Below are 14,105 nucleotides of genomic sequence, written 5' to 3' on the forward strand. Positions count from 1 at the left end.
AACCTATGATCCAGCAATTTCACTTCTGGGTTTTTACCCAAGAGAAATGAAAATGTTTTTCTATACCAAAATTTGTACATACTATTCACAACAGCATTGTCCAGAATAGCAAAAAACTGGAAACAAGTCAAATGTTCATCAATAGGCAAATGCATGGAAAAATTATGATAAATCCATACTCACCAGTAAAAAAAAAACAAAAAAACTAGTGATATGCAAACCAACTTGGATAAATCTCAAAAGCACATTGAGTAGAGGAAGTCACTCAAAAGAGTACAGACTGTATTATTCCATTGAGATGATGTTCTAGAAAAACTAAAATGAATCTATAGTTACAGAAATCAGGTAAGTGGTTACCTGGGATGGGATGGTTAGGATGGGATTAACTACAAAAGAGAAATAGGGAAGTTTCTGGGGTGCTATAAATATTTTGATTGATTTAACAGTTACTGAGTGTATATATTTGTTAAAATTCATCAAAGTCTACATTGAAGTGTATGCATTGTATTATATGTAAATTATGCCTCAGTACAGTAGATTTTTTTAAAATGTTCTCGTAGCTCCCCATTGAACACAGGTGTCATCATGGCAAGACATTTCCTAGCTGAGAGATGCTTTTTCATTCTTTCATTCAAAAAGTAGCTTTTTCTTTCCTTCCTTCCTTCCTCTCTTTCTTTCTCTTTCTCTCTTTCTTTCTTTTCTTTCTTTCTCTTTTTTTTAGTGGCAAGGTCTTGTTTTGTCACCCAGGCTGGAGTGCAGTGGTGTGATCATAGCCAATAGAGGGTGCACAGGCACGGGAGCTCAGGTGAGGCAGGGAGCTGAGCTCACCTGACCTCCCATGCCTGTGCACCCTCTATTATATCACTCGTATGTCTACCATTGTTTGCAGATCGTGAGCTGCTTGATGACTGATGCTAGGGTGACCAACCAACCAAGTATGCCCCAAACCAAAGGGTTTCCTGGGCTTCCTGAGCTAAGGGATGTTCAGTGCTAAAACTGGGAGGCCCAGGCAAACGGGGAAAATGGGTCACCTTATCTGAGACCTTGTGCTACTCATCTCTGAAAGCATTCCCAGGCTTAGCCCCCTATCAGGTGGGTGATGTATGCTCAGTAAATGTTTCCTGAAAGGCTAGAATATGTGTGAGTAGGACACTTGAAATTCTCCTTTGGTTTCCCATGCAAACTGAGTCCTACAGTGAGAAAGCCAAGCGTAGTGGCAGATCCTGCCCCAGACACCAGGCTCGCTTGGGTCCTGCCTAGGGCGCCAGCCTCTCTCCCATGTCATTGGTGTTCTGGAAAGCAGATAAACAACTGACTTCAAGTCCTATTTAAGTTTTATGGGGTAGCCAAGGTCTTCCAGGGCTCCATCTCCAGGAAGCCCCCTCCCTGCAGCCTGGCTGGCTTTTCTTCTTCTTCTGGTGAAGTCATCCGACCCCAAGTGGCCCACAGTTTCCTTTCTCTCCACACCTCCCAAACCCGCTGCCCAGTCCTGGCACTGCCTGGGGTTACTGCTGACCTTTCAGTGCTGTTTGCTCAGAAAGTGCCTTTATGTCAACACAAACAGCCTTCAGGTTTGCCAGGGCCTGGCTCCTTTTCTCCCTGGGGTCCAGGGTAGAAAAACAATAACCAGTGGGAAGGAGAGCGAGCCATAGGGGAGTGACGCGTCCCTGGACCTTGGGTCTCTGTCCTCTCAGCCCTGTCCCTCAGGGCCTCCTTTGTCAGAACTCAGTTCTGTGGGGAGAGGGTACTGGGGAGGCAGCGGCTTTAAACAATGCCACAGTGTCTGGCAGGGAGCTGCGTGCTTGACCTGATTAGGCTCAGTGAGCCCGGGGGAGGGAGGGAGTGAAGGCAGGCTTGGGAAAGTGTTTTCCATCCCCACCCAACAGACTTTGCTTCCTTGTATCTCTGCCAAGACCTCTTTTTGGGGAGGAAAGGCCGAATCGCCTCATTTCTACAGGGGCACCTTGGCCTCGCTCCTCTAAACCTGGGTAAGCTCTTTGACCTGCCTGTCCCCCTCCCTCTTGTCTTTCCTTCCCACCAACCAGCTCCCAAACAGAAAGTGTTTTTCACACTCGCAGCTCTCCCTCCTCAGGCCCTGCCAGGCCCGAAGCTGGGCCCAGAGGCCAGCTGGCACCCACATGAAAGGCCTTCCTGTCGAGAACTGGCATGGAACCCAGGGCCTCAAGGCTGCCCACACCACAGCCCTGGCCCAGGGTCCAGAGCACAGGGCCACGGAAACTTGGCCACAAGGCTCTGGGGAGAAAAACAGCCTGAGCCGCACAGGAGAGGAGCCTCCCATCCCCGCAGCCTGGCTGGGCACATCAAGGGAGAAAGCGCAGTGCCCAGAATCCTTTGAACATGAAGCCGCAGCACCTGCACCTGGCAGAGGACCCGGGAACCAGGGATTCGTGCTGGGGGCAGCACTTGGGGTTTGTTAGTGCAGGTGGAGAGAAAACAGGAGAGTAGCAATTTCCAACCCATCAGCAGAAAAAAGTGAAAGCTGAGAAGTCAGGGTGAGGCTGGAGGGGACAGGATGGGGTGGCTGGGTGGGCCCAGAATTGAGATCTGATTTGCAAAATGGTGGCAAAAGGCAACAGACTGCGGCTCCCTTGAGAGAAAAACCTGGTCTCCCAACCGGCAATGGGTGTGGTTATCAAACGCACAGCCATGCCTGTTCCCAGGATGCAGGTGCAGTCTGGATAAACTGAGACTAGGGTTGGGGGGGATCTGTTCAAGGTTGCACAGCACCTTCAAGATGGGGCTTGAACTACAAACCCAGGACTCCGGACCTGGAAAGAATCTCCTAGGAGGTTCTGGAGGGTTCATTCTTGGACAGAAATCTGGGAGAACCTACAGCAAAATGGCAACAATGTGATTGTGGGTAACTTAAAGTTTGTGGTTTTGTGTGTGGTTTTTTGTTTTTTGCTTACCTGTGCTTTCTACTTTTTTTTTTTTTTTTTTTTTTTTTTTTTTACAGTGAGAAAAAAATACCTGTGGGGAAAAAAACATAATGGAAAATAAGAGTTTTGATGAAATGATACACTACACATAAGGTGTTAAGCAGGATGAGGGGCTGGCATTTAATAATGGATAAATAAAGGTTAAAAGTAATTAGCTTAAGGGGAGAGAGGGCAAGGAAGAGGAAGCAGAAGGAAGGGAGAAAGGGGAAAGAGGAACATCCAAAGTAAGGAAGAAGTCAAAGCTAAAGGAAAGGAGTGAAAGAGGGAAAGGAGAAAGAATATTAACAAGAAGAGTGAATATTGGCCAGGTACAGCAGCTCATGCCTATAATTCCAGTGCTTTGAGAGGCAGAGGCAGGAGGATCACTTGAGCCCAGGAGTTTGAGACCAGCCTGAGCAACACAGCAAGACCTTGTCTCTACAAAAATTGAAAAAATTAACCAGGCTTAGTGGCACGCATCTGTAGTCTCAGCTACTCAGGAGACTTAGGAGGAAGGATTGCTTGAGCCCAGGAAGTCAAGGCTGCAATGAGCTATGATTATGCCACTGCACTCCAGCCTGGGTGACAGAGCAATACCCCACCTCAAAATGTATAATAATAATTTTAAAGAATAAATTTAATTTTTTAAAATAGTGAATATCTTCACGGATTCCTGGATCTCAGTGCTGCCTCGCAAAGACAAAATAAATATCAAAGTATCAGTCATCAAGTTAGCACACTCCTCACCTTCCTTCAGGTCCGTGTGAAAGACCCTGGGTTGGGCTGGACTAGAGGGAAGTTTCCTGAACTAGCTGTGGTTCCAGCTGTGTAGACAGTTAGTTGGTTACTAACAGCATTCACAGAGCGTCTGCAATGGGGGTTGTTTCATATGACTAGTTTCTAGGATTCCATCACACACACACACACACGCACACACAGAAGACACTGGGCACCTCATTTCAGAAGCGTCATGCCTACTGTTTGGAAATGAGTGTTCTACGTGTCCTCTCTGGAGGGAGGCTGAGCTGGAGATGGGAGGGAGTCTTTGCTGCCAGCGCCCTGCAGGGTAATCCAACCATCCTTGGTGACATCATGTTTTCTGAGTGGATGTTTGCTTCAGAAGCTGCAAAATAATCTCAACTTTCAGCCCCAACTTCTCCCCAGGAGGGCAGCATCCTGTGAATTTGGCCAAAACGGAACTCACACCACAGCTCATTAAGGGAGCAATCAGCGAGGGTACCAAAATGCTGCCTCCCTCACACTTTCCACCCTGCATCCCCCATCAAAACTCTCATAGCCTGTGTCTCTCTGGGTGCCAGAGGGAGAGAAAATGCATGTTCCAATGGGGTATTGAGGAAGGGAGAGGAGAAAGAGGGGCAGGTCGAAGGAGCCTGGTAGAGAAAGGGGGTGACCCCACCTGGCTCCCTCCAGGGCTGGGGTCTCTTGTGACAGGCACTGGGCTGATGGAAAGCAGCTGCGGGACCTTGGCAGACCCAAGTGGGGCCAGCTGGAGAGAGAAACTACCCCTGAACGTCATAGGAATTTAATGCCCACTGAGCTAGGGGAGCCAATGTCAACATCTCTGAGCCAGAGGCCAGGGACTAGCAAAGCAAATGCAGCTCAAAAGATGAGGTGCCCCATCACCCGACAGGGGCTCCTTGGCTGTGAAGCCAGAGGGATCTTAGTTCAGATTCCGGCTGGGTGACCTTGAGTAATTTACTTGGCCCTTCCAAACCTCACCTTTTGCACCTGACATGGGGCTCCAGTCATTTCTTCATGTATTCATTTGTTCAATAAGTATTTACTTAGTGTGTACCATGTGCCACGCACCGTGCATACAACAGCAATCAAACTATTGTCCCTATTGTCCCTGCTCCAAAGGAAGTTGTAGCTTAGTGAGGACAAGCAAAAAGGTTCTTCTAAAACAGAATGAGAATTTCTACCCTAGCGATATACACTGGGAAGGATAGGAGTATAAACTAGTCTTGAGACCAAAAAATCTTTCTGTAAGAAGGAACATCTAAGTTGAGACTTGCAAGATAAGTAGGAGTTCTTGCAAAAAGAAAGAAAAAGCAATGTGTGCACAGAGCTGGTGGTGAGAGAGAGCACGGCTTCATGAAAAAGAAAAAAACAATGTGTGCACAGAGCTGGTGGTGAGAGAGAGCATGGCATCATGGAGGAACAGAAATAGTTCAGCATGGCTGGAGATGGAACATGTTTGGTAAAAAGGAGCTCAGGGAGGGTGAGGCTGAAGAAGGGAGTGAAGGTCTGACTATGGAGGCCTTGTATAGCATGCTTGAGTTTATTTGTTTGTTTTTGTTTTTGTTTTGAGACAGAGTCTTGCTCTGTCACCAAAGCTGGAGTGCGGTGGCATGATCTTGGCTCACTCACTGCAAACTCTGCCTCCTGGATTCAACATTCTCCTGCCTCAGCCTCCCGAGTAGCTGGGATTACAGATGTGCACCACCATGCCCAGCTAATTTTGTATTTTTGGTAGAGATGGGTTTTCGCCGTGTTGGCCAGGCTGGTTTTGAACTCCTGACCTCGAGTGATCTGCCCGCCTCGGCCTCCCAAAATGCTGGGATTACAGGCATGAGCCACCATGCCCGTCCTCATGCTTGAGTTTAGATTTCATCCTGAGTCTACACTTGAATGAAGGTTTCCAGTAGGGGAATGAGATGATCAGATTTCTGTGGCTAGAGGGTGCAGAACTGATTGGAGGAGAGAAGGACACGAGATGGGGAAAAGACTGTTAGAGGGAAGCTGTTGGAGGGATCCAGGCAAGAGGCAGCAGAGGTCTGAGCTGTGGAGGTGAAGAGAAGGCAGAGAAGACAAAAGCAGGTAAATGTGAGAGGTGTTGGAGAGGGAGAATGGATGAAACTTGGGGACTGAGTGGATGTTGCAGTGGAAGAAGAGGAGGCTTGGAGGTGGGAGGAGTCGGGACTATTTTTGGACTGAGGAGGAGGAATGTTCTAGTTAGGAGTGATACCTATGAGAAAAGAATCAATCACCCCCACAGAGCTCTGAAGTAGCTCAGAACGTGAAGGCACCAGGTAGGGAGGAGGGCAAGGTGAGGTATAGGAGGAAAATGAGGGCATAGGATGGAAAGCCACCTATCTTCAGAATGCTAGCAGTCAAATACCTACTCCTTAGGCAAGAGACAGGGGTTATTCTTAGGAGAAAAAGAACAGAAGAGGTCATGGACTTGGGGCTCCAAGCACCAAATAGTGAGGGTGAGATTTAGGGCTGAAAAGGAGGTATCAATTGAAAGCCTAACCATGGGGTAGTCAGTTCTCCAGCCCCTTCCTTTTGTCCTACCTGCTGATGGGCATCTTTCCCTCAGGTTGGAAAATATGATTCTTTAGAGAAACTGAAGAGTCTACAAGGAATAAAACCTCCAGGTACTAATTGTTTTGAGTGGGGTTGAAGTCCCCCAAAGGAATGGCAAAGTCTCTTCCCTGTTACCCCAAAGTGATAAGCTACACAGACCTTCCAATCAACTTTTGTAGTTTCTCATTCTTAAGTATGAACAGACAACCAGTCTGATATGGTCAGAGAAATATAAGGCCATAAAACAAGAACTAGCTGCTATGAAAAAAGGAACAATCATTTAATAATAGATTTTGAAAATTAATAAGTCAAAAAAAAACATTCAACAGAAAGGCCAGAATATGTTCTTGAGGACATCTCCCAAAAAGTAGAAGAAAAAAAATGAGGACTAACAGAGAAAAGGTAAGAACATTAGGGAATAAAACCAGAAGTTCAATAACTTACTAGCAGAAATTCCAGAAAGAGAGAGAGAAAATGGAAAGAAATTATCAAATAAATAAGAAAATTTTCCAGAACTAAAGAGTGCATGTCACTGAATTAAAAGAACCTGCCAAGAGCCTGCCACAAAAAATTTTAAAAGGCCTAAAATGTAGGAGTTTGATCTTAAAATTTGAGAACATCAAGCATAAAGAAAAGAACTGAAAAACTTCCAAAAAAAAAAAAATAAGAAGAATGGTACTGAATGTCTCCAGAGCAAATGCATCTAAAAATGATGGGAGAAAATTATCTTCAATCTGCATTTCTGTACCCAGTTAATCTATCAGCTAATTGTGAGAGCAGGAGAAATGTTTGCCAGACATGCAAAGATTCAGAAAATTTACTTCCCATCCACACTGTCTTGGAAAACTATAAGAGAATAGGCCAGCAAAGCAAAAGCATCAACCCAGATGGAAAAAGTCATATATTCCAGGAAATGGGGTTGCAACTCAGAGGCACAATAAAGAAAAGTCTTAGAGGACCCTTTGCAGCAGACCTAAGGAATAGCCGTCCAAACTGGAGAAGAATAGAGGGCTCTGAAAGGGAGATCTTTAGGAAAAACATAGGTTGATAACATAAATGATATGATAGGTTATACAATGGATCCTTTGAAAAGAAGTATAGAACATTATGCAGGTGAAAATATGGGCAATTAATAACTCAAGGAAAAACAAAAAGCTACAAAGGAAAGAGAATGTAATCATAGCATACTACTTGACTCTGCTACAAACAATGTTTAAAAAGTCTTAATGATGTAAACCCTGACTGCTAACTTAAAATAAAAAATAGTGATTCAACTATATTGAGAGGATGGGGTGGGGGACATAGTAAGAGCTACACAATCTCGTAACTCTATCATAACAAAAAATTTGTCTAAATATGCCTATAAATGTCTAAAATGACATATCAAGAAAAAAGAATAAGCATAATATTATAGAGATAACTACCAAAAGAAAGGGTGAAAAAAATCGTCTTGGTGGTGGGTTAGCGGACAGTTTCAGAATGTGGAGAGATATGAGACAGATAATAACTTCTTTAAAAAATTTTTCAATTTTTATTTTACATTCAGGGGGTACATGTGGAGGTTTGTTACATGGGTATATTGTGTGATGCTGAGGTTTGGGGGATAATAACTTGTTCATTATAGACTTTAAAAACCACATCTGGATGTTTCTTTTATACAACTTTTTTAGTTAAAAAAATTAAATGTAAATAAAATAGCAAAAAAGAAATGTGAGTTTCTATTCCCACTTTCCCTCCCTTACAGTGTGTGGAAGTCTCTAACAGAGTAGCTTTTTTGGTTTCAAAGTCAGGAAAACGGGGAAAGGCAAGTTGCTGAAACACATCTACGTCTATGACTGTCTTCTGGGTAGGAAGCACAGAGATAAAGTTGGTAAAGTACCCAGCACAGAATATGTCCTCGAGAAATGTTGACTTTCCTTTTCTCTCCACCTGAAGGAGCATTTCTCATATTTATTTATTTAATTAAATGAACATAGTCTTCAGAGAAAGGCAAGGAATCAGGCAGGCGCATTCTCCAGAAGCCCAAGTTAAAAGAAGATTTAGTGACAGTCTTGTTGGGTGCAGGTTTCTAACCTGTGAGTGATCATGAGAATTACCTGAGGGATTTTTACAAGAAAAGATTTCTGGGCCTTACCCAAGTTTTGGGGTAACTTGGGCCCAGGGAGGAGAAGTCCTTGACCGGGCCAGGAAGAGGCAGGACCAGAATGAAGGCCCTGGCCTTCTGCCCACAGCACTGTAGACTCCACACACTCACCTGGGTTTCCATACCACCCTGATTTTCTCTTTAACAGATACCATTGGGTTCTGGAGGCTCCAACCATGCATGTGTTTGGGTAGTAGTGTTGAGACCCAGCACTGAGGCAGGGGGAGGCGCTTGGGGGCTGTTTGTGTGCAAGTCCTAATAGAAGCCAGCTCAGATTCAACTGCTCACCCTCAAATTCCCCTAAATCTGGAGGGGCAGTGGTGCTCCTTTGTCCTGCAGGCAGCTGCTGGCTTCCCAAGATGCCCAGAGACATGGGATGCTGGCCAGGGCTGGAGCCAGGAAATCCAGCTGTGTCATTTGCCAGGCCCCACCCAGTGCTGATGCCTGGTTCCAGCCAACTGTGATTCACCTACTTCATCACTTAGCCAGATGCCACCCACTATCCCCACTTCCTTTCCCTCCCTCCAGATCACCCTCCCTGCAGGTGGTTGAAGGAGTGACCCAGGCAGTTCTGCCTTAGGACCCAGCTGTCAGGATCCCCAGGTCAGCAGATTCAGTGGTATTTGATTACAGAAAATCAAAGAGAGACGCTGACGCCTGTAATCTCAGCACTTTGGGAGGCTAAGGGGGGCGGATCATGAGGTCAGGAGATCAAGACCATCCTGGCCAACATGCTGAAACCGCGTCTCTACTACAAATACAAAAAATTAGTAGGGTGTGGTGGTGCATGCCTGTAGTCCCAGCTGCTCGGGAGGCTGAGGCAGGAGAACTGCTTGAACCTGGGAGGCAGAGGCTGCAGTTAGCTGAGATGGTGCCACTGCACTCCAGCCTGGGCGACAGAGCGAGACTCCGTCTCAAAAAAAAAAAAAAAAAAAAGGAGAGATTTCTCTTATGCTTGAATAATTCCCCCATGCTCCTTTTCGCAATATCTTTATAGTGTGGGGCCAAGAAAAATCCTCTTCAGGAGAAGGAATTGAAAATAACAACAATATTGCCATACATTCGCATATTATTTTATACATACAGCCTCTTTTGCATACATTACCTCAGACATGTAACCCTCACAACCACTCCTTAAGCTTGTTATTGAAAAAATTCAAAGCATAACGAAAGTAAAGATCAATGAACAATTAAGTACCGATTAAGTACCCGGATGAACGAAAACTATCACCCCATGGCCGCACGTCTTTCAACTGCCTCATTGCCACTCCACTTTCCAAAACAAACGGATTGTTTTGAAGAAATCCATAATATCATCAAATTTCCAGTGAGTGTTCAAATTTCCGAAATCTACATATCACCTTTACTTGATGTCTCTCAAGTCTCTTTAAATTTGTAGGTTTCCACTCCCTCTTTTTTCTTTTTCCTTGCAAAGATTATTTGTTGAAGAAACCAGGCCATTTTTCCTATAGTTTCTCACATTCTGGGTTGTGCGGATGGTATTTCTAAAACATGTTCTGCTGTTCCAGATCTTTCCTGTAAACTGAAAGTTAGATCTATAGATGTGAGATATGATTTCGAGCAAGAATCTCTCATAGGTGATTTTTTTTTTTTTTTTTTTTTTTTGAGAGGGAGTTCCCCTCTTGTTGCCCAGGCTGGAGTGCAGTGGCACAATCTCAGCTCACTGCAACCTCTGCCTCCCGGGTTCAAGCGATTCTCCTGCCTCAGCCTCCCAAGTAGCTGGGATTACAGGCATCTGCCACCACGCCCGACTAATTCTGTATTTTTAGTAGAGATGGGGTTTCTCCATGTTGGTCAGGCTGGTCTCAAATTCCTGACCTCAGGTGATCTGCCCACCGCAGCCTCCCAAGGTGCTGGGATTACAGGCGTGAGCCACCACACCAGGCCCTGGGCTCTCTTTTCATGATGTTAGTAGACATTGGTGATCATTGTCTAGTGCTCCATTAGCTCATAAGGGGTTTGCAAAATGGTGATTCTGGTATTGCATCTTCACTTACTAGCTGGAACTCTTCCAGAGAGAAGCATTTCAATCCATTGCACTTATTTTTCTTATTGTACTCAAATAGTCCCATCTTTGTCCTCCTCAAGTTAGTTCCTGAATTCCTCTGAACCAACCTCAGTAGTCTTCCATAGTTCCCTGGCTTTCTGGAATGATAACATCTTCTTGGCTTATCTTGTATATCTTCTGTCTTACATCTGGAATCCAAAATTCTTTTAAGAACCCTAATTCCTTTTGGTGGAAAATGGTATTTAGAATTTATAATCTAGGTATAGGAAGTACTCATTGCTACTGGTTGGTCATTGCTTCTAAGCCTCTTTGATGGACAGAGCTAGGAAATATATATTTTTGTATTTATTAATGTGTTTAAAATAACAAAAACTTATCATAATTTAAATTATTATATATATTTAAAATAGACCTTTTTTAGAGCAGTTTTAAATTCACAGCAAAATTTAGAGGAAAGTACAGAGTTCCCATATACTCCCTGCCCCGACATATGCACAGCTTCCCCTATTATTAACCTCCCCCACCACAGTGGTGTGTTTGTTATAATTGATAAACCAATACTGACACACATTATTACCCAAAGTCCATAGTTTACATTAGGGTTCACTCTTGGTGTTGTACAGTCTGTAAGTTTGGGCAAACGTATAATGACGGGTATCCACCATTACAGTAGGAGAATAAAACAAGAAGTTCAATAACTTATTAGCAGAAATTCCAGAAAGATAATTTATTTCTGGAATTCTCTTTCACTTTCCTAAAAATCCTGTGTTCCACTTCTTCAGCCCTCCCTCCATCCTAATCCCTGGAAACCAGTGATCTTTTAACTGTCTTCATAGTTTTGCCTTTTTCAGAATGTCACATAGTTGGAATCATACAGTATGTATGCTTTTCAGGCTGGCTTCTTTCTGTTAGTAATATGCATTTAAGATTCTTCCATGTGGCCGGGCGCGGTGGCTCATGCCTGTAATCCCAGCACTTTGGGAGGCCGAGGCGGGCGGATCACGAGGTCAGGAGATCGAGACCATCCCGGCTAAAACGGTGAAACCCCGTCTCTACTAAAAATACAAAAAATTAGCCGGGCGTAGTGGCGGGCGCCTGTAGTCTCAGCTACTTGGGAGGCTGAGGCAGGAGAATGGCGTGAACCCGGGAGGCGGAGCTTGCAGTGAGCCGAGATCCCGCCACTGCACTCCAGCCTGGGTGACAGAGCGAGACTCCGTCTCAAAAAAAAAAAAAAAAAAAGATTCTTCCATGTTTTTTCATGGCTTGATACCTCTTCCTTTTTAGCACTGAATGGTATTCTTCTGTCCGGATGTACCACAGTTTATTTATCCATTCCCCTCTGAAGAACATCTTGATGGCTTCCAAGTTTTGGCACTGATGAATAAAGCTGCTATAAACATCCATGTGCAGGCTTCTGTGTAGACGTAAGTTTTTAACTCCTTTGGGTAAATACCAAGGAGTATGATTGTTGGGACTTATGGTAAAAATATAAAAATATACATTTTAAAATGCTATTTTTTAGTTTTGAAAAAAAAACCTCAAACTCATGAAAAAGTTCCAAGTAAAGTACAAAGTACTGTTTCCCCTAAACATTTGAGCATAAGTTGTTAATACAATGTCCTATGATTCCCAAATAATTTAGTTGTATTTTCACCAAACAAGGATATTTTCCTTCATAGGCACAATACAACCATCAAAATCAAGAAATTAGCATTGACACTTTTACTAACTTCTAGTAATCATACTCCATTTAGGTTTTGTTGTGATCTCAATAACAGCTTTTATAGCAAAAGATCCAATTCAGAACCATGGGTTGTATTTGACCATTTTGTTTCCTTTATTAAACTTTACATCCTTGACATTATTGAAGATCATAGGGCAGCCACTTTGTGGAATGTCCCACAGTTTGTGTTTGATGTCTTCTCATTATTAGATTCAAGTTTTACATCTAGGGCAAGAATATCACGTAAGTGATGTGTTCTCACTGCATCTTATTAGGTGACACACAAGTTCATTTGTTAGATTACAAATGATTAAGGTGGTGACTGCCAGGTGTTTCCTTTGTAGAGTAACTCTTTCCTCTTGTAATCAATAAGCGTTTCACGGAGATGTACTTTGAAATTGTGTAAATACCCTATTCTTTGTCAAACTTTCAAGCTGTTCATTTACATATTTTCATCGGTATGTACTCATGGTTCCCTATTTTATCAAATGGATTATAATCCATTGGGATCCTTATTTGCTTTGATGCTCAGATTATCTCAGATGTGGTCATCAGAGGCCCCTTCAGACCAGGTTCTGTGTCTCTCTGAGTTGTCCCCATTGTTCCTGGACACTTCCTTACTTTCTGCTGCTACAAAAAGATATTCCAGGCTCATCTTGTACTTTGCCTGCCCCAGCTGTGAAATCAGCCATTTCTCCAAGGAAACCAGTTCCTTTTTGTGAAGAATGGGATTTAGAAACCACAATCAGGATGTGACAGAGTTTGGATATTTGTCCCTGCCCAAATCTTGCATTGAATTTTAAGCCCCATTGCTGGAGGTAGGGCCTGGTGGGAGCTGTTGGGGTCATGGGGGCAGCTCCCTCATGGCTTGGTGCTGTCTTTGCCATTGCGAGCTCTTGTGAGATCCAGTCATTTAAAAGTGTGTGGCACTTCCCCTCTTCACTCTCTCTTGCTCCCGCTTTTACCACGTGATGTACCTGCTTCCCTTTCACCTTCTGCCATGATTAGAAGCTTCCTGAGGCCTCCTCCCCAGAAGGAGATGCCAGTGCCATGCTTCCTGTACAACCTGCAGGACAATGAGCCAATTAAACCTCTTTCCTTTAGAAATTACCCAGTCTCAGGTATTCCTTTTTTTTTTTTTTTTTTTTGAGATGGAGTCTTGCTCTGTCTCCTAGGCTGGGGTGCAGTGGCGCAATCTTAGCTCACTGCAACCTCCGCCTCCCTGGTTCAAGCAATTCTCTGCCTCAGCCTCCCAAGTAGCTGGGATTACAGGTGCCCGCCACCACGCCCTGCTAACTTTTGTATTTTTAGTAGAGATGGGATTTCACCATCTTGGGCAGGCTAGTCTTGAACTCCTGACCTTGTGATCCACCCGCCTCGGCCTCCCAAAGTGCTGGGATTACAGTTGTGAGCCACCACGCCGGGCCTCAGGTATTTCTTTATAGCCACACAAGAGTGGCCTAACACAGGATGCTAGCTGGGCTTATGGCTTTATAAAGTGTCTGTGTTCTCAGGATTTCTCAAAGGACACAGCTAGGGGAGATAAAAATACACACATACACCCATCTATATTTATATTTATTTTGATTTCCATATCTATATCTATTTATAAGAAACCATGAGTTCACTTCCTGTCCAATACCACAGGACCCATTCTGTTTTCTCCCTTTCTGTATTTGTAATACTTTTCTCCAATGCTTGGAGCCAAGAAAAATCCTCTTCAGGAGAAGGAATTGAAAATAAAAAACAGTATTGCTTTACATTTACATATCATGTATACATACAGGCTCTTTTGTATATGTTACCTCAGATATTTGACCCTCACAACCACTCTTTAAGTTTCTTTTTCTTCCTTTCTTTCCTTCTTTCTTTGAGACAGGATCTTGCTCTGTTGCCCAGTCTGGAGTGCAGTGGCATGATCATGGCTCACTGCAGCCTCAA

The 14,105-nt window shown here is 44.0% G+C and overlaps 1 protein-coding gene, 1 long non-coding RNA gene and 2 other non-coding genes across 5 annotated transcripts in view, besides 2 other annotated features; 3 read left to right on the plus strand and 1 right to left on the minus strand.

Moving 5' to 3' along the window:
• SCARA3 (scavenger receptor class A member 3) overlaps positions 1-14,105 on the plus strand; it is a 100,679-nt gene that overhangs the window by 67,439 nt on the left and 19,135 nt on the right. The gene's annotated exons all lie outside the window — the stretch shown is intronic.
• Positions 69-11,844, plus strand: LOC124901920 (uncharacterized). Its single transcript, XR_007060869.1, has 2 exons — positions 69-5,780; positions 11,726-11,844. It is a non-coding gene; the product is annotated as an uncharacterized LOC124901920 (long non-coding RNA).
• MIR3622B (microRNA 3622b) lies at positions 772-866 on the minus strand. The gene has a single exon (NR_037418.1). It is a non-coding gene; the product is annotated as a microRNA 3622b (primary transcript).
• MIR3622A (microRNA 3622a) lies at positions 776-858 on the plus strand. Its single transcript, NR_037417.1, has one exon. It is a non-coding gene; the product is annotated as a microRNA 3622a (primary transcript).
• Positions 2,233-2,378: a silencer, noted in NCBI's record as "fragment chr8:27560651-27560796 (GRCh37/hg19 assembly coordinates)". NCBI's record gives its function as "represses an EF-1alpha promoter that drives an FKBP-Casp9 reporter gene in an ReSE screen in HepG2 liver carcinoma cells {active_cell/tissue: HepG2}" and the evidence as "EXISTENCE:reporter gene assay evidence [ECO:0000049][PMID:32094911]".
• Positions 3,876-4,376: an enhancer, noted in NCBI's record as "H3K27ac hESC enhancer chr8:27562294-27562794 (GRCh37/hg19 assembly coordinates)". NCBI's record gives its function as "activates a minimal SCP1, AML or CMV promoter by ChIP-STARR-seq in primed H9 embryonic stem cells {active_cell/tissue: H9 hESC(primed)}" and the evidence as "EXISTENCE:reporter gene assay evidence [ECO:0000049][PMID:30033119]".

The sequence above is a fragment of the Homo sapiens genome, chromosome 8, assembly GCF_000001405.40.
Source record: "Homo sapiens chromosome 8, GRCh38.p14 Primary Assembly".
NCBI lineage: Eukaryota > Metazoa > Chordata > Mammalia > Primates > Hominidae > Homo > Homo sapiens.